Raw genomic sequence first — 23,107 nt, 5'->3', positions numbered from 1 at the left:
CTGCCGGGAGTTCCTTGGGGACCCTGTAGAGAGGAGATTCCCACGCTGGACGTTTCCACTTCGGGGCTCCTATCTGATACCGCCCACCTTGGGCACAGTTCATATCTTTCAGCAAAGTGGCGAAGGCATCTAGCTCCAGTTGCCGAGGACACCATTTTATAGCTGAGGACAGTAAATTCAGCGAAGCAGAGTGATTTGCTTAAGAACCTGCTGGTGAGCAGTGGGGTAGGGATTTGCGCTTGGGTTCTCCAGTCTCCAAAAATCCGTGCCTTCCGCATGGCCTCTGCACCAAGCCCTGCTTCACTGCTCCTTTGTGGACTTTCTGGTCGCAGCTGAGGCATCCAGGCAGAAAGACCATCCCTAGGTTTGTTTGAAGAGGGTGTTGACGAAGAGTCACACTCTAAAATATTTGAAGGGATTTATTCTGAGCCAAATATTTGTGACCATGGCCCGTGACACAGCCCTCAGGAGGTCCTGAGAACATGTGCCCAAAGTGGTCGGGGCGCAGCATTTTAGAAAGACACGAGACATCAATCAAATACATTTAAGAAATACATTGGTTTGGTCCAGAAAGGTAGGACAACTCAAAGCCGGGAGGAGGGGAGAGGGTGGGGCAGGAAACGGGAAAAATATCTATCTATGTTAATAGAGATTTTTGTTTTTTTTTGAGACGGAGTCTTGCTCTGTCGCCCAGGCTGGAGTGCAGTGGTGCGATCTCGGCTCACTGCAACCTCCACCTCCCGGATTCAATCAGTTCTCTGCCTCAGCCTCCCAAGTAGCTGGGACTACAGGTGCCTGCCACCACGCCTGGCTAAATTTTGTATTTCTAGTAGAGATGGGGGGGGTCTCACCATGTTGGCCAGGCTGGTCTTGAACTCCTGATCCACCTGCCTCGGCCTCCCAAAGTGCTGGGATTACAGGCGTGATCCGCCACGCCCGGCCGGTAATAGAGATTCTTTACAGATGCAAATTTTCCCCCACAAAAGACAGATTTGCAGGGCCATTTCAAGATATGGCAAAGAAAAATGTTTTGGGGTAAAATCTTTTGACTTTCTTCTTAGTCACATAATATTATGCCAGAGTCAGATTGGAAAGTAAGTCATGATATATAGGGTTAAATAAAACCCATCTGATGAGAATTTATGGTTTGTAGGGCATGACTCTCCAGACCTCTTAGGTAGGAATTTGGGCAAGGTAAAAAAAATCAGAGCTTAGTCCTCAAGGGGTTCTGGTGTTTAAAATCCTACTCTTGGCTGGGTGTGGTGGTTCACACCTATAATCCTAGCACTTTGGGAGGCTGAAGCGGGCTGATTGCTTGAGCTCAGGATTTCCAGACAAGCCTGGGCAACATGGCAAAACTCAGTCTCTACTAAAAATGCAAAAATTAGCTGAGTGTCATGACAAGTACCCATAATCCCAGCTACTCAGGAGGCTAAGTAGGAGGATCGCTTGAGTCCCTGGAGGTGGAGGTTGCAATGAACTGAGATCATGCCACTATACTCCGGCCTGGGTGGCAAAGTGACACCCTGTCTTAAAAAAAGAAAAAAAAAAGGCCAGGCGCGGTGGCTCGCACCTGTAATCCCAGCACTTTGGGAGGCTGAGGCAGGTGGATCACCTGAGGTCGGAATTCAAGATCAGCCTGACCAACATGGTGAAACCCCATCTCTACTAAAATACAAAAAATTAGCCAGGTGTGGGGGTGCATGCTTGTAATCTCAGCTACTCCGGAGGCTGAGGCAGGAGAATCGCTTGAACCTGGGAGATGGAAGTTGCAGTGAGCCAAGATCGAGCCATTGCACTCCAGCCTGGGCAACAAGCGCGAAAACTCCATCTCAAAAAAAAAAAAAAAAAGAAAGAAAAAGAAAAGAAAAAACTGCTCCTAATATGCCTTTCCCAGTGCTCTAGTCTGCACCCATGCCCTGTCACGCCAGCGACAAGATCCTTTTGTTACCAGAAAGGGGTTCTGATCCAGACCTCAAGAGAGGGTTCTTGGACCTGGCACCTTGCGGGGAATCCATAAAGTGAAAACAAGTTTATTAAGAAAGTAAAGGATAAAGAATGGCTACTCCATTGGCAGAGCAGCCCCGAGGGCTGCTGATTGGTTATTTTTATGGATATTTCTGGATTATATGCCAAACAAGGGGTGGATTATTCATGAGTTTTCTGGGAAAGGGGTGGGCAATTGCCAGAACTAAGTGTTCCTCCCCTTTTTAGACCATGTAGGTTAACTTCCAGTTGCTACCATGGCATCTGTAAACTGTCGCGCGCTGGTGCGAGTGTCTTTTAGCATGCTAATGCATTATAAATAGTGTATAACAAGCAGTGAGAAAAACCAGAGGTCACTTTTGTCGCCATCTTGGTTTTGGTGGGTTTTGGCCGGCTTCTTTACTGCATCCTGTTTTATCAGCAAGGTCTTTGTGACCTGTACCTTGTGCCCACTTCCTATCTCGACCTGTGACTTAGAATGCCTAACCTCCTGGGAATGCAGCCCAGTAGGTCTCAGCCTCGTTTTACCCAGCCCCTGTTCAAGATGGAGTTGCTCTGATTTAAATGTCTCTGACACTTTGGAAAACGACTTCAGACCGAGCCAACACACTTCCCCTATGCTGCAGATCTTGTTTCTGTGGTGAGAAAAGAACTTTTACCTGAGGAATGCGAGTCCTGTAAGTTATCAGGCCCAGAGAGACATTAAAATAAGACAGCAATCACGTCCTACTCCCACTTTGAGTTATGTATTTATGTCTTGAAACTGCTTGCTATTGCCACAGGTAGCTATAACCTAACAATGCTGCACTGGACACCATATCTTACATCCTATAGCACTGTACAGCCAATCACTAATCAATGTTATTTCTGTAAACCAATGAGAATTTCTGACAAACAACTTTGTATCAGCCCACTCCCTGTCCTCCTTTTTCTGCCTTTAAAAACCTGTTTGTAACAAAGAGAGAAGGGAGCTCACATCCAAGATTACTTGCGTCTGAGTCTTTTGGGCAGCTGTCCTCATTTTGGCTCAAGTAAACTGTTTAACTTATATTTTGTGCCTTGGCACCTTCTTGTTTTTTTTAAGATGAAGTGGTGCTCTGTCGTCCAGTCTGGAGTGCAGTGGCACATTCTTGGCTCACTACAACTTCTGCCTCCCAGGTTCAAGCAATTCCCCTGCCTCAGCCTCCCGAGTAGCTGGGATTACAGGTGAGCACCACCATGCCCAGCTACATTTTTTGTATTTATAGTCGAGATGGGGTTTCACCGTGTTGGCCAGGCTGGTCTTGAACTCCTGACCTCAAGTGATCCACCCACCTTGGCCTCCCAAAGTGTTGGGATTACAGGTGTAAGCCACCACGCCCAGATGGCTAGCAACTTCATTTTAGATGAACAGGAGGTGGCCCGTGTGGTGGCTCACACCTGTTATCCTAGCACTTTGGGAGGCTGAGGCCTCCTAATCCCAGGAATTTGAGAGCAGCTTGGGCAACATAGCCAGACCCTCATCTCTACAAAAACACTTAAAAATTAGTCAGGGGTGGTAGTGCGGGCCTGTGAGCCCAGTTACTGGAGAAGCTGAGGCAGGAGGATTGCTTGAGCACAGGACTTTGAGGCTGCAGTAAACCGTGGTCATGCCCCTGCACTTCAGCCTGGGCAACAGAGCAAGACCCTATCTCACACACACACAAATTTTTTAAATTAAACAAATAGATCAACAAGAGGTACAGAGATAGGACCTGTCTGCCAACTCCTCCTACTTGCCCTAAGACAGCCTCGAACTTGTGAAAAAGGCCAGAGTGGACGCAGAACTCTCAAGGGGCTGCACCAGACTCCCTTATTGCAGGAAGACCTGCTGGAGAAGGTGTATAAGTGGGATCCTGGAAAAAACATAGGAGGTCCCCAGATAGACAGCAGAAGGGCTTTCTTGCAGATGGACATGGCATGTACAGCGGTGCAGAGGTGTGAGTGTGGAACAAGCCTGGGACCCACAGAATGTTCTAGAATTTTCTTTAATTGGAGCCTCTTCTCCTTTCAGTCAGTGCGGAGTTGGAAGACCCAGAAGAGGTTTCTTCTGAACTTTTTTTTTTTTGAGATGGAGTCTTGCTCTGTTGCCCAGGCTTCTCCTGCCTCACCCTCCCAAGTAGCTGGGAGTACAGGCGTACACCACCACACCCAGCTAATTTTTGTATTTTTAGTAGAGACAGGGTTTTACTGTGTTGGCCAGGCTGGTCTCAAACTCCTGACCTCAGGTGATCCACCCACCTTGGCCTCTCAAAGTGCAGGGATTACAGGCTTGAGCCACAATGCCTGGTCTCTTCTGAACCGCTTGTCTCCAACAACACCTCTAGTTTTGTGTGATTTCAAAGGAGTTCATTGATTTATCAAAAAATGTTTATTGAGATGTAGGATGAATAAAACACAGCTTCTGTCCCAAGGGGCAGACTGGGGCAGCCCACAGCAGCAGGCACTCATCCCTATCAGAGGCCGTTCCTACAGGGCACAGTGACTCAGTCGGTGAGGCTCTGGACCATTTTCCCCACACGTCCAGGCCAAGGGCACTGTCCTGAAGTAAACGTTACTAATGATCATTATTAATTACCAGACCGACATGATGTCACTAGCAGCACAGTCTCTGTCTGTGTCGATAGCCACATCAAACAATGAATTTTAATTTATCACAATGTCCTGACCATTCATCAAACTGCTGTCTGTGGATCCCAGGAGACAGAGTTTATTGGCAAATATCCGTGGAGTCCACTAAGTTTAAGGCCTAGAGCCAGATATGGGGTCCTAAGGAAGCAAGACAAGGTCACTGCCCTTAAGGAATTTGAGATTCATTGGAGGAGAGGGGTCAACACTGCATTAACCATGCAGCAATGTGAGAATGTGTAAGAGACAGAGGGGGTTGAGGGAGGGATGGATTACCTAAGGGAGTGGGCAAGGAGAGGGGACAACAGTGACAATCAGAGCTGTCCTGGACCAGGTGCCCTGTGTCAGGCCTGTGCCTGAAGCTTGACCTCTGTGGCCTTGGTTTTCACAGTAGCCCTGTAGAACTGGAATTCAGAGGAGACCTGAGTAGGGACTTGAAGGAGGAGCAGGATTGCTCCAGGTGCAGAAAGCAGGGTCACCCCAGGCAGAGACAACCATGTGGACACCATGGGGTGGCTGATCAGCCCTTCACGCCAGGGTGTGACCTACAGTGAGGCTCCACGTCCCTGCCACCTGGCTAGAATGGGCTTTAGGGGAGAAAACTAGGATTGCATTAGTGCTTCCAGGTAGCAGTGAGCCCCAGGCTAAGGTATCAGGGCCCAAAGAGACAGGAATTCTGAAAAAAATACAGAGGAATCGTCAGAAGCATTTGAACGAGAGCAACTCTATCTTGAATAGGGGCTGGGTAAAATAAGACTGAGACCTACTAGGCTGCATTCCCAGGAGGTTAAGCATTCTTAGTTACAGGATGAGTCAGGAGGTTGGCATGAGATACAGGTCACAAAGACCTTGCTGATGAAACAGGATGCAGTAAAGAAGCCGGCCAAAACCCACCAAAACCAAGATGGCAACAAGAGTGACCTATGGTCAGAAAGGGGGAGGAACACTCACTTCCAGGAAATCCCCGCCCCTTTCCTGGAAAGTTCATGAATAATCCACCCTTTGTTTAGCATATAATCAAGAAATAACTATAAGTATACTCAGTCAAGCAGCCCATGCCACTGCTCTGCCTATGGATTAGCCTTTCTTTTATTCTTTTACTTTCTTAATAAACTTGCTTTCACTTTACTCTGTGGCTTCACCTTGAATTCTTGTGTCTTGCTCGAGATCCAAAAACCCTCTCTTGGGGTCTGGATTGGGACCCCTTTCCGGTAACAGAATTAGGGTGAATATGTACATGCATAGGCTTTGCAAAATCTATCTATCCACCTGAAATAATCAAAAGGTTCAGAATTCAATTTTAAATAGTTTATGCAAGTGAAAAGCTGGGAGTAACCACCTGAGAAACACAGGCACCAGAGAAATGGGGCCAGTGCTCCAAAGTTGAAAGTTAAGGTCTTTCTCATCCTGGTCGGCTTGGGGGAAAACCAAAAAAGTTAAGGTTTAGCTTATATAGGCAGGAAACAAATACATTTAGTAGGATTATAACATTTTCTGCAACAGGCTTGTTTATGAGTTACAACAGTTAGTTTTTCTTTTCCATAGAGCTTGTTTTCTTTACAACTTTTTATTTCCTTTCCAATTGAGAGGAGTGTATTTAACATCCCATCTTAGACAACGTGATAGTCATGAAGTCTTTGTATAGAAAGTTAATCTGTAATGGCCGGGCACGGTGGCTCACGCCTGTAATCCCAGCACTTTGGGAGGCCAAGGTGGGTGGATCACTTGAGGTCAGGAGTTTGAGACCAGCCTGGCCAACATGGTGAAACTTTGTCTCTGCTAAAAAATACAAAAATTAGCCAGGCATGGTGGCGGGTGCCTGTAATCCCAGCTACTTGGGAGGCTGAAACATGAGAATCACTTGGACCCAGGGGCGGAGGTTGCAGTGAGCTGAGATCGCACCACTGCACTCCAGCCTGGGCAATAGGGCGAGACTTGGTCTCAAAAAAAAAAAAGTTAATCTGTAATGAAGATCAACAGTGAAGCAAGGGGGTCTTCCTTGGCACCCTTCAGTCATTTACATTTTACAAAACAATGTAGGTAAGGAAAAAAGCTAATCTAATCGGAGAAACAGAGGTTACAGCTGCCTGTCATGTGACCCAGGCCTCATAATCATATTCCCTTAAGGCTCAATATATGTTAAAGTTCCAACAGCGTAGTAAATTTTGAATTACTAATTTTCACACATCAGATTATTATTTGATGGAATTTAGGGATAGAACTTAACCTGTACGTTGGATAAAAATTTGCCTCATATTTTTGTAAGCCCTGATTTCCTGGGTAAAATACTATATCTGCAAACCAGCACAAATGTTAACACTTGGCCTGTATCTCCACCCTTCTGCATTCCTGGTATCTTTGAGGACACAGCCCAGAGAAACCAACTGGTGGCTGCGGCCTGCAGTCAGTGAAGACAAGGGCTAGGGTGAGGTGGGACACGGTTCTCCTTCCTTTTCTGAGTCTTTAGAAAGTGAAACGTCAGTCAGCCTTGGTTGTATGGTGACCTCAGCCATCAGAAGAACAATTGTCTCCTGATTGCTCACTTTTTTTTTTTTTTTTTTGAGAGGAAGTCTTTCTCTGTTGCCCAGGCTGGAGTGCAGTGGGGCAATCTCGGCTCACTGCAACCTCCACCTCTCGGGTTCAAGCAATTCTCCTGCCTCAGCCTCCTGAGTAGCTGGGATTACAGTCACCCGCCACCAGCTAATTTTTGTATTTTTAGTAGAGACGGGGTTTCACCATGTTGGCCAGGCTGGTCTTGAACTCCTGACCTCAGGTGATCCACCCACCTCAGTCTCCCAAAGTGCTGGGATTACAGGCGTGAGCCACCACACCCAGACGATTGCTCACATTTGATCTGTTAAAGCTGATAAAAGACAACAGCTTATGTAAAGTTACAGATCATGAAAGGGAGCGAATTCAGCAAATTTTTAGCAAAGGAAGGAATTTTACTGTTAAGTGCGCACCTGCCACAGAATCCTCAAGTGTGAATGGGGTGGTGGGAGGACATAGGAGTTTCTTCATGTATCCCTAAGAATGCAGAATCTTCAGACATGCAAGGACACCTACGCAAGTTGTCCCTAACTAGGGAAAAGCGAGAGGAGGGCTCTGGCTGGGTTTGCCACTTTAAGCAAGGTGACAATGTTTGGGTCACTGAAGCACTCAGAGCCCCACTTTCCTATCTGTAAAATGGAAATGACATTCATAGCTTGTGTAGAGAGAGGACAGATGTGGAAGTGCAGTGCAAGCCCTGCTGGGGAGAATTACTACAGCTGCTGTAAGACCAGAGCCCACAAGATAGGGGGTATGGAGAAAGCCCTTAGCCCGCTGTGCCTTCAAAAGCACTCCTCATGGTTTGCATACGAGTTTGATCCAGACTTCCAGCCTTTTCTCCCAAAGTTGGGGACATTTTGAACACATTTGCATGCTACCTGCAAGCAGGCTCTAACTTCCAGTCACTGCAAACCCTGCATTTGTATTCAATGCTTACTGCCAGCATGTGGCTTGTCTGAAAGACTGAATGCTTTCCCAATCAATGTAATTACATTCTGGATTAAGAGAGAGTTGCTTTACCCTGGAAAGGACAGAAAGATGCGGGCAGACAAGCCAGGTCACACCTGCTTTTGTTTTTTCTTTAAACAAGCTTTTGCTGTGTATCCTTGGGCCATTTCTCTCCAGTGTAGTCTACTCCCTGGCTAGAATGTGACTTCCTCCTGGGCAAGGACTGGGTATCTTGCTGCCTGTCTCTCCCAGCGGGGTTGGTATTGATGGGCAGTCACCTGGAACTGTGGCTAGAAAGAGGAACAAGAGGCTTGAGAGGAAGAGGACTGGGGTGGATTCCGGCTGGAAGCAGGTCTGACAAGACTAGATCTTGGAGGAAGGGAGTGTGGACTGTCTACACTGGCAGAGAGGCATAGATATTGGAGCTCATCAGCTCATTCTGGCTGAATTTACAGCTGGTTTCTATGGTGACCAGAGATGATCAGATTATAACTCACCTGCTCCTTCTAGCTGCAGGCCCTCCTAAAGTCATTCTCAAACCTTCTCTTTTTTCTTTCTTTTTTAATTTAATTTTTTTTTTTAGATGGAGTCTTTCTCTATCACCCAGGCTGGAGTACAGTGGCACAATCTCGACTTACTGCAACCTCCACCTCCTGGGTTCAAGCAATTCTCCTGCCTTAGCCTCCCAAGTAGCTGGGATTACACGCGTGCACCACCAAGCCTGGCTAACTTTTGGATTTGTAGTAAAGACAGGGTTTCATCATCATGTTGGCCATGCTGGTCTCAAACTCCTGACCTCAAGGTCTTGGCCTCTCAAAGTGCTAGGATTACAGGCATGAGCCACTACATCTGGCCTCTGTTTTCTTTCTTATCATCTCCTTTGGTCTCTACCCACCTCCCCGCTCCCACCTCTCACCCCCATCAGTGCTGATCACTAATCTTTTTTTTTTTGAAACAAGGTCTCACTCTGTTACCCAGATTGGAGTGCAGTGATACGAACTCGGCTCACTACAACCTCTGCCTCCCAGGTTCAAGCAATTATCCTGCCTCAGCCTCCCGAGTAGCTGGGACTACAGGTGACTGCCACCATGCCTGGCTAATTTTTGTCTTTTTAGTAGAGATGCAGTTTCACCATGTTGGCTAGGCTGGTCTCGAACTCCTGACCTCAGGTGATCTACCCGCTTCGGCCCCCTGAAGTGTTGGGATTACAGGTGTGAGCCACCACGACCAGCCCTGATCACTAATTTTGAGGTGGTCATTAGATTCTGGAAGCTTGGTCCTCTAAGAGCAGGATCAAGTCAGATTCAGATAAAACAGAAACTCCCAGGTAAATTTGATTTCAGATAAGCAATGAGTCACTTTGTAGTATGAGTATGTCCCTAGTGTTTAGGACATACTTATGAAGCTGTCCTCACAGGCTTAACAAGAATCTTGGACAGAAATATAGTTATAATTAAGCATAATGAGGCTGCACTTTCACCCACTTCCTTGTAACAGAAAGTCGCATAGCACTAGATACTGACCACTTGAATCCCCATTGTTCCTTTAGATTGGATCTCTGACATTAGAATCATAAGGCTTGGCTGGGCCTGTGATCCCAGCATTTTGGGAGGCTGAGGCAGGTGGATCGTTTGAACTCAGTGACCAACCTGGCCAACGTGACAAAACCCCGTCTCTACAAAAAATACAAAAAATAGCCAGGTGTGGTGGATTTGTGCCTATAGTCCTAGCTATTCGGGAGGCTAAGGTAGGAGCATCACCTGAGCCTGGGGAGGTTGAAGCTATAGTGAGCCATGATTGTGCCACTGCACTCCAGCCTGGGCAACAGAGTGAGACCATCTCAAAAAAAAAAAAAAAAAGAATCATAAGGGTTTTGTTTAAGAATTGCTTAAGATGTTTTTCAGGTCCCTGAATTCCAGTGAAACAGCTGATGCCAACCAGTTTGAAGACCTCCACAGAGGAATGAAAGCAACATAAGAATAGTTTCTTCATTTCCTTGTCCCATGACTTCATGCACTCTTTGCCTAATCAACGATCTCCCCACTTCAGCCCTCTCCAAAACCCTTAAAAACCCTAGCCCCAGGCCAGGCGAAGTGGCTTACACCTGAAATCCCAGCACTTTGGGAGGCCAAGGTGGGAGGATTGCTTGAGCCCAGGAGACCAGTCTAGGCAACAAAGTGAGACCCTGTCTCTATTAAAAAAAAAAAAATTTTAACCAGGCATGGGCACACGCCTGTGATACTAGCTGTATGGGAGGCTGAGGCAGAGGATTGTTTGAGCCCAGGAGGTCGAGCTCCAGCGAGCCATTTTTGCGCCACTGCACTCCAGCCTGGGTAACAGAGAGAGACCCTGTCTCAAAAAAAACAAAAAACAAACAACAAAAAACCCCCAGCCCCTGACTCCCTGGGGAGATAGATTTGAAGTTTCCTCCCTGTCTTCTCAGTGGACCTGTATTAAACCTCTTTCTCTGCTGCAACCCCGTGTCTGGGTGTATTGATTTGACAGGAGTGTCAGGCAATTAACCTATTACAGTTACGCTTAGAGTAAAAAATGATTCATTATTTGTCTAAAATTCAAATTAGATATGTATCCTGCATTTCATTTCTCAGTCTGGCACCCTGCTGGTCTGGCATCCAGCTCAGAGCCCTTGCTCAGAGACAGTGACTATGACAACAGCTAATTGAATTAGTGCATCTCAGGCACATTTTCCTTTCTAATATGCTGTTGACTAAGCTTACGATATTTTCTCCCTCTGACTCAGTTACATCTCTAAATTGATACCAGCCCCCTTGGACATGGCCTTCACCCTAGGGAAGCCTAGGTTCCTGTATTTAACACCATTCTCTTTTTTTAATTTTTTAAAAAATGTGTTATTTTTAAAAAAATAGAGACAGGGTGTTGCTATGTTGCCCAAGCTGGTCTTGAACTCCTGAGCTCAAATGATCCTTGTCCTTTGGCCTCACAAAGTGCTGGGATTACAGATGTGAGCCACTGCACCCAGCCCTGTATTTAACACACATCTAGAAAATTCGGAGCACAGACAGATTGAGAACACTTTCCTCTTTTGCATACAGTTTCAGGGTATTCCCAGGTCTCATGAAGCCCAGGCGTGGATTGCCCCTGACATAACTTCTTATCCAACCCCCCGCTTTTCAGAATAGAAAACCCAGGCCCAGAAAGAAGGTGACTTGCTCAGGTCAATAGCAAATGACTGTGAGCTAGTCAACTCCCTGTATTTATTTATTTGGCTTAGATTTATATGAACTAGTTTAAACCTGATAGTAATAAAAAAATTCACTGGCCCTACAAATGCTTAATTACATTTAAAGTAATACAACTTATGAACCAATGAACTGTAAAAAGATATTTTTGGCCAGGCGTGATGGCTCACGTCTGTAATCCTAGCACTTTGGGAGGCCGAGGCAGGAGGATCACTTGAGTCCAGGAGTTCCAAACCAGCCTGGGCAACGTGGTGAAACCCCATCTCTACAAAAGATAAAAAATTAGCTGGGCATGGTGGCACGTGCCTGTAGTCCCAGGCTGAGGTGGGAGGATCACCTGAGCCTGGAGAGGTTGAGGCTGCAGTGAGCCATGATCGTGCCACTGTACTCCAGCCTGGGCAGTAGAGTGAGACCCCCACCTCACAAAAAAAAAAAAGATTTTTTTGAACTTTTGGGAGAAAGTAAAAATGATCTATAGAACAAGTTCTCTCGCTAGTTTTATTGGTTGTATTAGCTTCCTGTTGCTGCTATAATTACCACAAACAGAGTGAGTGACTTCCAGCAACAGAAACTTATTATCATACAATTCTGGTGGGTAGAAGTCTGAAATTCAGTCACTGGACTAACATCAATGTATTGGCTGAACTGTGCTTCTTCTGGAGGCCCTAGGGGAGCATCCATTTCCCTGCCTTTTCCAGCTTCAAGAGGCCGCCTGCATTCCTTGGCTGCTGGCCCCACATCACTCTGACCTTTGCTTCTCTAGTCACATCTCCTCTGACTCTGACCCTCTTGCCTCCACAGAACCTTTGTGATTACATTGGCACTACCTGGGTTATCCCGAATACTCTGCCCATCTTAAGATCTATATCTGAAAAGTCCCTTTCATCACATTAGGCAACTTATTCCTGGGCTTTGGGAATTAAGGCGTGGGCATCTTCAGGAGGCCATCATTCTTCTTACCACAGTTGTGATGAGGTATCGTGATTACAGTTTTTGAAAAAAGTCCTTAGCTGTTAGAGAGTGAACTGATTATAGGTGAAATTATTTGCTTTAAAATCCTCTAGACCAGGCACAGAGCTCATGTCTGAAATCCTAGCACTTCAGGAGGCTTAGGTGGGAAGATCGCTTGAGTCCAGGAGTTCCAGACCAGCCTGGGCAACATGGCAAAACCCCATCTCTACAAAAGCAAAACAAAGATTAGCCGGGCATGGTGGCACGGATCTGTAGTCCCAGTTACTTGGGAGGCTGAGGTGGGAGAATCACCAGAGCCTGGGGAGGTTGAGGCCTCAGTTAAGCATGATCCTAGGTGACAGAGTGAGACCCTGGCACTCCAGCCTGGGCAACAAAGTGATAGCATGTCTCAAAAAAAAAAAAAAAAAAAAAAAGAAAGTAAGAATGAAAGAAGAAAATTGAAAGGATGGGTTGCCCCTCCACACCTGTGGGCGTTTCTCGTTAGGTGAAACGAGAGACTTAGAAAAGAAAGAGACACAGAGACAAAAAATGAGACAAAAAAATGAGAGACAAAAAAGAAAGAGACACAGAGAAAGAAAAATGGGCCCAGGAGACCGGCGCTCAGCATATGGAGGACCCGCGCCGGCCCCGGCCTCTGAGTTCCCTTAGTATTTATTGATCATTATTGGGCGTTTCCCAGAGAGGGGGACGTGGCAGGACAATAGGATAATAGTGGAGAGAAGGTCAGAAGGTAAACATGTGAACAAATGTCTCTGCATCATAAACAAGGTAAAGAAAAAAGTGCTGTGCTTTTGATGTGCATATACATAAACATCTCAATGCCTTAAAGAGCAGTATTGCTGCCAGCATGTCCCACCTCCAGCCCTAAGGCGGTTTTCCCCTATCTCAGTAGATGGAATATACAATCGGGCTTTACACTGAGATATTCCATTGCCCAGGGACGAGCAGGAGACAGATGCCTTCCTCTTATCTCAACTGCAAAGAGGCCTTCCTTCCTCTTTTACTAATCCTCCTCAGCACAGACCCTTTACGGGTGTGGGGCTGGGGGACGGTCAGGTCTTTCCCTTCCCACGAGGCCATATTTCAGACTATCACAAGGAGAGAAACCTTGGACAATACCTGGCTTTCCTAGGCAGAGGTCCCTGCGGCCTTCAGCAGTGTACCGTGTCTCTGGGTATTGGAAGTTAGGGAGTGGTGATGACTCTTAACAAGCATGCAGCCTTCAAGCATTTGTTTAACAAAGCACATCCTGCAGAGCCCTTAATCCATTTAACCCTGAGTTGACACAGCACATGTCTCAGGGAGCACAGGGTTGGGGGTAGGGTTACAGATTAACAGTATCTCAAGGCAGAAGAATTTTTCTTAGTACAGAACAAAATGGAGTCTCTTATGTCTACTTCTTTCTACGCAGACACAGTAACAATCTGATCTCTCTTTTCCCCACAAAAATAGAGAGGGGAAAAAAAGCCCTTAGAAGACATAAATGGCAGAAAGTTGATGATTGGTTTTTTTGTTGTTTTTCTGCCTTTTTTTTTTTTTTTTTTTAGATGTAGTCTTGCTCTGATGCCCAGGCTGGAGTGCAGTGGCGTGATCTAGTCTCACTGCAACCTCTACCTCCTGGGTTCAAGCAATTCTCCTGACTCAGCCTCCCAAGCAGCTGGGATTACAGGCGCGTGCCACCACACTCAGCTAATTTTGTATTTTCAGTAGAGACGGGGTTTCACCATGTTGGCCAGGCTGGTCTCAAACTCCCCACCTCAGATGATCTGCCTGCTTTGGCCTCCCAAAGTGCTGGGGTTACAGGCATGAGCCACCATGCCCGGCCAGTGATTGTTAAAGCTGAGCTATGTGTACATGGAGGCTCACTGTACTATGTCCTCCAATTTTTTGCATATTTGAAATTTTCCATTATATAAAGTTAAGCATTATAGATCTTTATGTTGTGGTACTGGTCCATGGACAGATGAGTAACCGTGAAAGAATAGGAAGTCCAGAAATGCACCCTAACACAAGCAGAAATTTAATAAATACAATACAAATGTGGCATTTCAAATCAGTGGGGATTGTTTAAATGTTATTGGGACAACTGGGTAGATATCTGTGAAAAATAAGCTTAGAGGCTGGGTGCGGTGGCTCATGCCTGTAATCCCAGCACTTTGGGAGGCCGAGGCAGGCAGATGGCCTGAGGTCAGGAGTTCAAGACCAGCCTGGACAACATAGTGAAACCCCATCTCTATTAAAATACAAAAATTAGCTGGGCATGGTGGCATGCGCCTGTAGTCCCAGCTATTCCAGTTCCTCGGGAGGCTGAGGCAGGAGAGATGCTTGAACCTGGGAGGCGGAGGTTGCAGTGAGCCGAGTTTGTGCCACTGCACTCCAGCTTGGGCGACAGAGCAAGACTCTGTCTCAAGGAAAAAAAAAAGTTTAGATTCCCACCTTTTACCTTACACCAAAATAAATTCCAGCTGGATAAAAGATGTGACTGGAATAAAAAAATTAAATTGTGAAATCTCTAGAAAGGAATGTGGAAGAGCCATTTTGAAGACATTATAATAGTTCTGGAGTAGGAAAGGTCTTCTGCGTGTGATAAAAAAAACTTGCATGGGGAAAAAAGCATAAATAAAAGATATATGACAATCTGTGAAAAATATTTGCAGTTCACACCACAGACACAGGTCGAATTTCCTTGACATATGAAGAAGTCTGTATGGCGTAGCCATACAATGGAACATCATGCAACAATAAAAAAGAATGAAGTACTGATACATGGTACAACATAGATGAAACTTTATTTATTTATTTATTTATTTATTTATTTGGAAATGGCGTCTTGCTCTGCTGCCCAGGATGGAATGCAGTGGCACGATTTTGGCTCACCGCAACCTCCACCTTCGGGTTCAAGCAGTTCTCTTCCCCTAGCCTCCTGAGTAGCTGGGACTACAGGCGCATGCTGCCATGCCCAGCTAATTTTTTGCATTTTAGTAGAGATGGGGTTTCACCGGGTTGCCCAGGCTGGTAACTCCTGAGCTCAGGCCCTGCCTGCCTCAACCTCCCAAAGTGCTAGGATGACAGGCATGAGCCACTTTGCCCGGCCAGATGAACCTTGAAGCCATTATGTGAAGTGAAAGAAGCCAGCCACAAATGACCACATATTGTATAATTCCATTTATATGAAATGTTCAGAATAGGCAAAACTATGGAGACAGAGAGTTGATTAGTGATTGCTTAGGTGTGGGGGTGTTTGGTGGGGGAGGCATGGAGGTGTATGGTATATGCATGGTGGGGGTGATTGCTAATGGGTACTGGATTTCTTTTGAAAGGGAGACAAAATGTTCTAAAATTAGATTGTGATGACAGTTGCACAGCCCTGTAAACATACTAAAACCACTGAATTGTACATTTCATATGGGTGAATTTTATGGTATGTGGACTGTATCTTAATAAAGCTGTTAACAAAAAATCAATACAAACAAGGCCAAAAACACAAAAGCAAGATGGACAATGAATATAACGAGACAATCCATGGGGAAAGAAGTACCTCTTAGGCCCAGGAAAGATGCTCAACAGTGCTCATAATAAGAGAAATACATTAGCCGGGTGTGGCGACACACACCTGCAGTGCTAGCTACTAGGGAGGCTGAGGCAAGAGAATCACTTGAACCCAAGAGACAGAGGCAGCAGTAAGCTAAGACTGCACCACTGCATTCCAGCTGGGGCAACTAAGTGAGACCCTGTGAAAAAAAAAAAACAGAGAGAGAAAAAAATATAAGACCGAGCATGGTGGCTCATGCCTGTAATCCTAGCACTTTGGGAGGCTTAGATGGGAGTATTGCTTGGGCCCAGGAGACCAGTTTAGGCAACAAAGTGAGAAGGGTATCTCTACAAAAAAATCAACAAAATTAGCTGGGTGTGGTGGCATGTATCTGTAGTCCCAGCTACTTGGGAGTCTGAGGTGGGAGGATTGCTTGAGTCTGGGAGGTTGAACCTGCAAAAGTGATATAAAAGTCCAATGAGTATCATTTTCACCTGTTCAGCTGGGAAATTTCAAACAAAGTATGATAATGTGCTCTTGGTCTGACTGTAAGGAAACGCTGTACACTGATGGTGGAAATCAAGACAGTTCAGCCTCTGAGAAGGGCGATTTGGTAATATCTATACAGTTAACATATTCATATCCTTTCTCCCAGCCTGGAGCTACCATGTGCCCATGAACTGTCTTCTAGGCTTGTTTGCTATGAGATAATGAGGCCTTACATAATTAAACTTTTATTATGTTGGGTTTTCTGGTCTGTGAGACCAAAATGAAAACTGATAATTGTAGCAATTCCACTTCCAGGAATTTATTCTAACATGTTTTCCCTACGTGTTTTTCATAGCAATGAATTGGGAACCACCCACATTTCCATCTAAAGAAGAGTAGTTAAATACGTTATGGCGCCTCCATGTACTGCCATGCAGGGAATACAGTATTGCTTTACAAAGGAATGACGATGCTCTTCATGTGCGATGGACAATGATCTCCAAGATGTGTTGTTAAGAGCCCCATGTAAGGTCGGGCACAGTGGCTCACGCCAGTAATCCTAGCACTTTGGGAAGTCACGGTGGGCAGATCGCTTGAATGCAGGAGTTCGAGACCAGCCTAGGCAACATGGCAAGATCCTGTCTCTACAAAAAAACACAAAATTTAGCCAGGTATACTGGCATGCACTTTTAGTCCCAGCTACTTGGGAGGCTGAGGTGAGAGGATTACTTGAGCCTGGGAGTTGGAGGTTGCAGTAAGCCAAGATCACACCACTACAATGCACTCCAGGCTGGGTGACAGAGTGAGATCCTGTCTAAAAAAAAAAAAGAAAAGAAAAATCCTTGCGTATGATATGCTACTATTTATGTAAAAGCTAAAATATATGTATATTTTATACTTGTAAATATAGAGAAAATCTCTGGGTGGAGATGTGGAAAGTGATAATTGTGTGGTAGAGGGCTAGGGTGTGAGAGACTCACTTTTCACTGCATATCCTTTTTGTGCCTTTTGAATTTTATACCATGTGTAAATTGACCTATTCAAAATGATAAGCAGAATAAAGGATGCCACGCCAGGAAGATGGTGCACCTTGAGAATAGGACTGTCTCTACTTGCACTTCACAACTATCAGATATGGCTCCAGATATGCAGCTTCTCCGAAACACCAGGGGAATTCGAAAAGCACAGTCTTATTGCCCAAACGCTGGGTTATGGTCCTGGAGATGGATTCTAATTTGCCATGTGCCTTTAGGTGGGTTACTTCCCATCTCTGAACCTCTGCTGGACCACCTGACTCCTAGGGGCCTTCCAGATCTCAGGCTCTGATTCTGCTGCTCAGCCAATACAAGGCTCACTAGACAGCCACCAGATGGCGCTCTGACCCTGCTTCCAAAGTGAGATGAGGCTGGGCCCATCCAGCTTTTACAAATGATGGGTGTCACTGGAGGGAATTTTAATATTGAAAGTATCAAAAAGGTCACTTCTGTAATCCCAGCACTTTGGGAGGCCGAGGTAGGGGGATTGCTTGAGCCCAGGAGTTAGAGACCAGCCTGGGTGATATAGCAAGTCCCTTATCTCTATTTATTTATTTAGAGACGAAGTGTTGCTCCTTGCCCAGGCTGGAGTGCAGTGGTGCAATCCCGGCTCACTGCAACCTCTGCCTCCCGGGTTCAAGGGATTCTCCTGTCTAAGCCTCCCAGGTAGCTGGGATTACAGGCCTGTGCCACCATGCCCGGCTAATTTTTTTTTTGTATTTTTAGTAGAGACGGGGTTTCACCACGTTGGCCAGGCTGGTCTCAAACTCCTGACCTCAAGTGATCCACCCGCCTCCGCCTCCCAAAATTCTGAGATTACAGGCATGAACCACCCCACCTGGCACCCCCATCTCTATTAAAAAAAAAAAAGAAAGCATCAAAAAGGGTGTGATTCAGGGAGCTGCATAAAACAAAAAGAGGTGCTGAGGGCTGAGTTTCTCCAGGAGTCAGATGGTGGAGGACACAGTCAAGTGCCCTCAACCAGGAGGGCAGGGTGGCCTAGCGTAAGAGGCTGGCAAGACTGCAGGCTGGCAGGAGGTTTCAGCCTCCCTGTGAGCTGGGGAGGCCTTGGCTGGGGCAGAGAGCCATGAAGGGCATGGGCTGTGGAATCAGGGGCGGGCAGGTCTGTTGACCTCTCTGAGCTTGTTCCCATCTGTAAAATGGGGTAATTCTGTCACCTGTGATATTGATTGTCATTCTTTTAATAGTGTTTGTTCTTGAAACATTAGAAAGCTCAGTAAATGTAGCTGTTATGTCTATGGGTAACGGGGAAGCTGCCTCTACAGAGGACACCTTTTCTTGGGGCTTGATATCCAGGCTCCTAGCCCAGAGGGTAGGCACGAGGGCTTCTTGGAGGAGGGAGATCCCCCGTGTGAGGCAGCGGTACTCTGTAGGAGCTGATCATTGCTGGGCTCAGAAAGAATTCCCTAGTTGTCTAATGTACGGCAAACACCGCAATTACTTTTGCACCAACCTAATAGATATCTCCTGGTTTTTCCTTTTTATGTGGACATGTGAGGAAAGTCCTATGTATCTTTGCCTTAAAATGGTTCTGTTTAAATGTTATAAAATATAAATGCTATGGATTAAAAAGAGCGGGTGGCCTTTTTAAGACATTTCTGGCTGAAGCCAGCATTGAAACTGCTGGAAACCACTAGGGCTGTTAATGTGTGATTTTTAGCGACTCCGGGCAAAGCGACCTTTTCTCCAGAGCAGAGATTGGTGTTAGTGGGGAGGGGTGCCGGCAGGATAAATGCTGCAGTGGGACACTCTTCTCCGGAGTGAAAGTGACCAAGTGGGAGGAGTGTCTGCCTCAGGCCTCTGCACTTCTTCCTCACTTTCTCAGCTGAAGGAATCTTGGAACTATGTGCTTATAGGAAGGGAAATCTTTTTATCCCCCCACGGAAAGGGGCTCTTTGCCCACCACATGAGGTTGTACCTCCTGGAAGAGGCTCCTTGTTAATTCCATCAAGGGGGCATATCAGCTGGCTTTGGCCCTAGTGGAATAGAGTGGAAATTGGTTTTCCTTCCTCAAAAACAGAACTAAAGTCTTTCCTGAGAGCAGCAGATCCCAGTCTTTATTTCTCCAAAACAGTGCTTCCAGAACTTTCCTGTTAAAATGCAGATTCCCAGTGGCCATTACGCAGTGATTCTCGAGAGAGTAGGTCTGGTGACTTGGTCCTGACAGGCCTGGTGGGAAAAAGCAGTTCCAGCTGCTTCAGCCCTCCAGCAGGGGCTGGGGGATGACAAGGACATGGAAAGACCCCAGAGCATGGATGGGAGGGAGCTGGCTCAGGGGCCACAGGGCCCTACCTCAGGGGTGCAGGCTGAGCAGGCAGGTAGGGCAACACTATCCCAAAGCAAATAGCAGTAGCAGGGCGGCCTCTAGGTCTGAGGGGAAGGAGGTGGAGTGGGAGAACATTGCATTTGCAGTCCAAGCTCTGCTCCTTACCTCCTGGGCGACCTCAGACAAGTCACTCAGCCACTTGGGCCTCACCTGTAAGTTGGGCATGGTGATTCCTGCCTGGCATCTGATAGAAACTCAACAGAGGTAGTGGTTTTCTTCCTTGTATTAGATCATCTGAACTTGGCCCGCAGGCCCCTCGGGCAACAGGCCTCAGAGTGTCTCTTGCGCTGTGAGAATAGGGGAGGTAGTGAGCTAGGCCTATGCCCTTTGTAACAGTACCCACACATACCCCTGCCCCTGCTGCGGACCTCCTTGGCTCACCTGTCCCGATCGCTCCCGGATTGTTGGTCTCTTATGGCAACTGAAAGTACAGATGGTCATGACCGCCTCCTGGGTCCTTATCAGGCCTCAGTTTCCCTAGGGGTGAAATGAGGCAGGCTGAGATGCCTCTGGGGCTCCTTCCAGCTCTGGCCAAATCTTGCATGAGGATTTGTTCTGCTCTGTGCTGACTGAGGCAGGGAAGGGGAACCATGTCATCCTTCATGGCCCTGCTGCAGGTGTCCCCTGGGGACCTCGGCTGACTTCCTGACTGCTTTCAGGGTCTCCTCATGAACATGAGGCTTTGTCTGAATGCCATGGTCAGATTTTTCACCATGAACCAACCAGAAGGAAGGGGAGAAGTCCTCTCCATGATTGTCCAAATCAGAGTGGCTTTTTGGCTTTAGCCTGGCTCTGTTACTTTTCTGGTGTGACTCTGAGCTTATCTGAGCTTTCTGTATCGATCCTCCTTATTAGCAAATGGAGGGGAGGAAGAGGTGGTCCCTGTAGGTCCTTTCTATAAAGGCAGGCATACTTGGTCCCACTGTGAGACTCTGTACATTTCCACTGAAGATCCATTCCTCACGCTTTGAGGGCCCTTTTTGAGGCTGGCTGGGGAGCCGAAGCTCCCCCTTCCTAAGCATTTTAGCCGTGGGGTTTAGACAGGTCCACTGGCCTAGTGGAAGCATGAAGCCCTCATTCACAGAGTGGGCACGATTTTGACTGCCTTGCCCACCTCACAGGTTCAGAGAGTGGACAGAAGGAAGGGTCCACTAGAAAGTAAGTACTGTGCTGGTATGGTCGATTACGAGGTCCATTTTTGCAGCCCAGAGCAGGGGGAAGTGGGAGCTGCTGTTCACTTTTGATGCTTGGATTGGGATGGCCTGACAGCAGCCTGGCCCCGGCAGTGATCTGCCCTCAGCATCCTGGAGCCCCAACCACTCCCAGCCATGGGCTGACCCCATGGGAGGTGGCGTCCTAGGGGTGGGTTGTGGGCCTTCCGAGGCTCCTAAGCTGTTAAGTGGTGAGGGAGCCAGGTGGACAGGTGGTACTGGCCCATCCCAGCCTCAGCACACTCCTGCCCGTCACGGCTCCTGCTCCCTGCCCTGAAGGCAGGGCTGCTGGGGCCACCGAGGCCACTGGCATGACTATCAGGACATCTGATTCTTGAGTTGGAGGCCGCTGTGCAAATGCGAGGCTGAGGACAGCCCGGAAGATTCCATTACAGTGTTTTGACAATCTTCTCCCTTGGCTGTGCCACAGGCTCTCCTTGGCCTCCCTGCCAGGCAGGGGAGTAGCTTGTTCTCAGCTCTGGAAGCAACAGCTGGGGCATCCCGGGCCCTCCCAGCCCACAGAGAAGGGCTTGCTATGTGCCCTCCTGCCGTTCCCCTGCCTAGGCTGGTGTAGAGAGAGTGATCTTACAGAGCGCAGGCATTGGGCTACGAACATCTGTCAGGAGTGAGTGATGCCAGGTGAATCTTCTAGAAACTCTAAATTCCATGAAATTTTCCTCCACTCGGAAACTTTTGCTGGCTCCCTGTTGCCTGTGAGTAACAGCTAAGAGCTGAACATCCTGTCTGGTGGATGCCTCCAATGTCTCTTCCATTCTCCCCTGCCTTTCCTTACTCCTTCCCTCCTCCCCACACTTTCACAACCATCTTTGATGCCTATTAAGTGTAGGTATGGCATGAAGCTCCAGAGATAAAACCACAAATGAGATGGACACAGCCCCGGACTCATGGAGCCCACTCCCTCCCCTTCCTAAGGAGATCCCCGGGCTCTTCTCACTGTTCTCCAGCACTCTGGGAACATTCCCCTATGGGGCCTTTGCTCAATTTCCTACACCTGAAATGCTGTTGCCATGTGCTAGATCCCACCATTCCTTCCAGGCTCAGTCAGGCCCAGCCCCGGCCCCATGTCCACACCTCCCCAGCCTTGGAGCCCTCTCTGTCTCACTTGGCACTCAGCCCACACACCTTGACCTTCATTTCTCTCTGCAAAGCTCCATCAGCCCTGTGCTCACACTCATGGTGGCAGACACGAGCGGGTCCTATCCAAGTCCCTCCCTGGGGCCCAGCTCCTAGTACTGGAGAAGGGAGTGGGGGTCCCCATGGGGTCAGCATTGGGCTTATCCAGGAATGCAGACCTGACTGGTCGGGCTGAAGTGCTTTAGGGGCAATTTTGCATCAGGGTCTGTGGTGCTTCTTGGCCAGCCTCATCTGAAGGGAAGCAGGCAGACCACAAGGGAAATAAAAGCATAGCAGAGCATAGCACTGAGGTTTGTATGGTTCCTGCCACACAGCCCAGTCCTCATGCACTCAGGAGAGAGGGCTAAGTCACAGAGAGGGGGCTGTGAGTACAAATCCAAAGCGTTTTCACTAAACCCACCACGAAAGTTTGGAGCACCAGACAACATGCTCTGAAGTTGCAGGAGGGAGTGTCACAGTAGGTGGGTGGGGTTTGAGGACTGTGCTCATTGGGGCAGACTCTGCAGCCTGAGCAGCAGGATGGTCCGCCTGTCTTGACAGCTGTAGGCGAGGAGGAGCCTGTCTCCTTGAGCAGCTCCAGCCCCAAGCGGCAGGTGGCAGAACGATTGGGCCACATGGCGCCTTGTCCCTCACCCTGGTGTGCGTGCCAGCCTAGGCAGAGGTTACCCCATAGTGGTTTAGATGGGATGAGACCCTTTGGGACTCCTCGAAAAAGATGGGAGAGTAATTTTAATAGGCGAAGAAACAGCCAAAGAAATGGGGTTTCATGGGCTCTGGGGATTTTCCATTTACCCTCAGCCTGCTAGGGCCTGAGAGACCCTGTTTGCCTAGGCAGAGGCACAGTGTTTTAGATTAGCTCCTGCCCCATTGACCTTTGCTTGATGTCTGGCTTGTGCCAGCAACACCCCATGGGGACCTCATGGTTGCTTGTTACATCCATATACTGATATGTGTCCAGCTTCGAGTGACACTAGCGACACCTGTGCCGACAGCTGGCCTGGTCTGGGGTGGGCAGA

At 47.5% G+C, this 23,107-nt stretch overlaps 8 annotated features.

The window, feature by feature from the left end:
• Positions 3,867–4,612: an enhancer, noted in NCBI's record as "NANOG-H3K27ac-H3K4me1 hESC enhancer chr2:26981889-26982634 (GRCh37/hg19 assembly coordinates)". NCBI's record gives its function as "activates a minimal SCP1, AML or CMV promoter by ChIP-STARR-seq in naive H9 embryonic stem cells {active_cell/tissue: H9 hESC(naive)}" and the evidence as "EXISTENCE:reporter gene assay evidence [ECO:0000049][PMID:30033119]".
• Positions 4,613–5,360: an enhancer, noted in NCBI's record as "NANOG-H3K27ac-H3K4me1 hESC enhancer chr2:26981141-26981888 (GRCh37/hg19 assembly coordinates)". NCBI's record gives its function as "activates a minimal SCP1, AML or CMV promoter by ChIP-STARR-seq in primed H9 embryonic stem cells {active_cell/tissue: H9 hESC(primed)}" and the evidence as "EXISTENCE:reporter gene assay evidence [ECO:0000049][PMID:30033119]".
• Positions 5,138–5,197: an enhancer, noted in NCBI's record as "active region_15475". NCBI's record gives its function as "activates an Ori minimal core promoter by ATAC-STARR-seq in GM12878 lymphoblastoid cells {active_cell/tissue: GM12878}" and the evidence as "EXISTENCE:reporter gene assay evidence [ECO:0000049][PMID:35858748]".
• Positions 8,353–9,100: an enhancer, noted in NCBI's record as "H3K27ac-H3K4me1 hESC enhancer chr2:26977401-26978148 (GRCh37/hg19 assembly coordinates)". NCBI's record gives its function as "activates a minimal SCP1, AML or CMV promoter by ChIP-STARR-seq in naive H9 embryonic stem cells {active_cell/tissue: H9 hESC(naive)}" and the evidence as "EXISTENCE:reporter gene assay evidence [ECO:0000049][PMID:30033119]".
• Positions 9,101–9,848: an enhancer, noted in NCBI's record as "H3K27ac-H3K4me1 hESC enhancer chr2:26976653-26977400 (GRCh37/hg19 assembly coordinates)". NCBI's record gives its function as "activates a minimal SCP1, AML or CMV promoter by ChIP-STARR-seq in naive H9 embryonic stem cells {active_cell/tissue: H9 hESC(naive)}" and the evidence as "EXISTENCE:reporter gene assay evidence [ECO:0000049][PMID:30033119]".
• Positions 9,849–10,596: an enhancer, noted in NCBI's record as "H3K27ac-H3K4me1 hESC enhancer chr2:26975905-26976652 (GRCh37/hg19 assembly coordinates)". NCBI's record gives its function as "activates a minimal SCP1, AML or CMV promoter by ChIP-STARR-seq in primed H9 embryonic stem cells {active_cell/tissue: H9 hESC(primed)}" and the evidence as "EXISTENCE:reporter gene assay evidence [ECO:0000049][PMID:30033119]".
• Positions 12,841–13,588: an enhancer, noted in NCBI's record as "OCT4-NANOG-H3K27ac-H3K4me1 hESC enhancer chr2:26972913-26973660 (GRCh37/hg19 assembly coordinates)". NCBI's record gives its function as "activates a minimal SCP1, AML or CMV promoter by ChIP-STARR-seq in naive H9 embryonic stem cells {active_cell/tissue: H9 hESC(naive)}" and the evidence as "EXISTENCE:reporter gene assay evidence [ECO:0000049][PMID:30033119]".
• Positions 20,677–21,182: an enhancer, noted in NCBI's record as "H3K4me1 hESC enhancer chr2:26965319-26965824 (GRCh37/hg19 assembly coordinates)". NCBI's record gives its function as "activates a minimal SCP1, AML or CMV promoter by ChIP-STARR-seq in naive H9 embryonic stem cells {active_cell/tissue: H9 hESC(naive)}" and the evidence as "EXISTENCE:reporter gene assay evidence [ECO:0000049][PMID:30033119]".

The sequence above is a fragment of the Homo sapiens genome, chromosome 2 (assembly GCF_000001405.40).
Source record: "Homo sapiens chromosome 2, GRCh38.p14 Primary Assembly".
NCBI classification, from domain to species: domain Eukaryota; kingdom Metazoa; phylum Chordata; class Mammalia; order Primates; family Hominidae; genus Homo; species Homo sapiens.
Note: the sequence above shows the minus strand (reverse complement) of the source record. Positions and strands in the feature narration are given on the sequence as shown.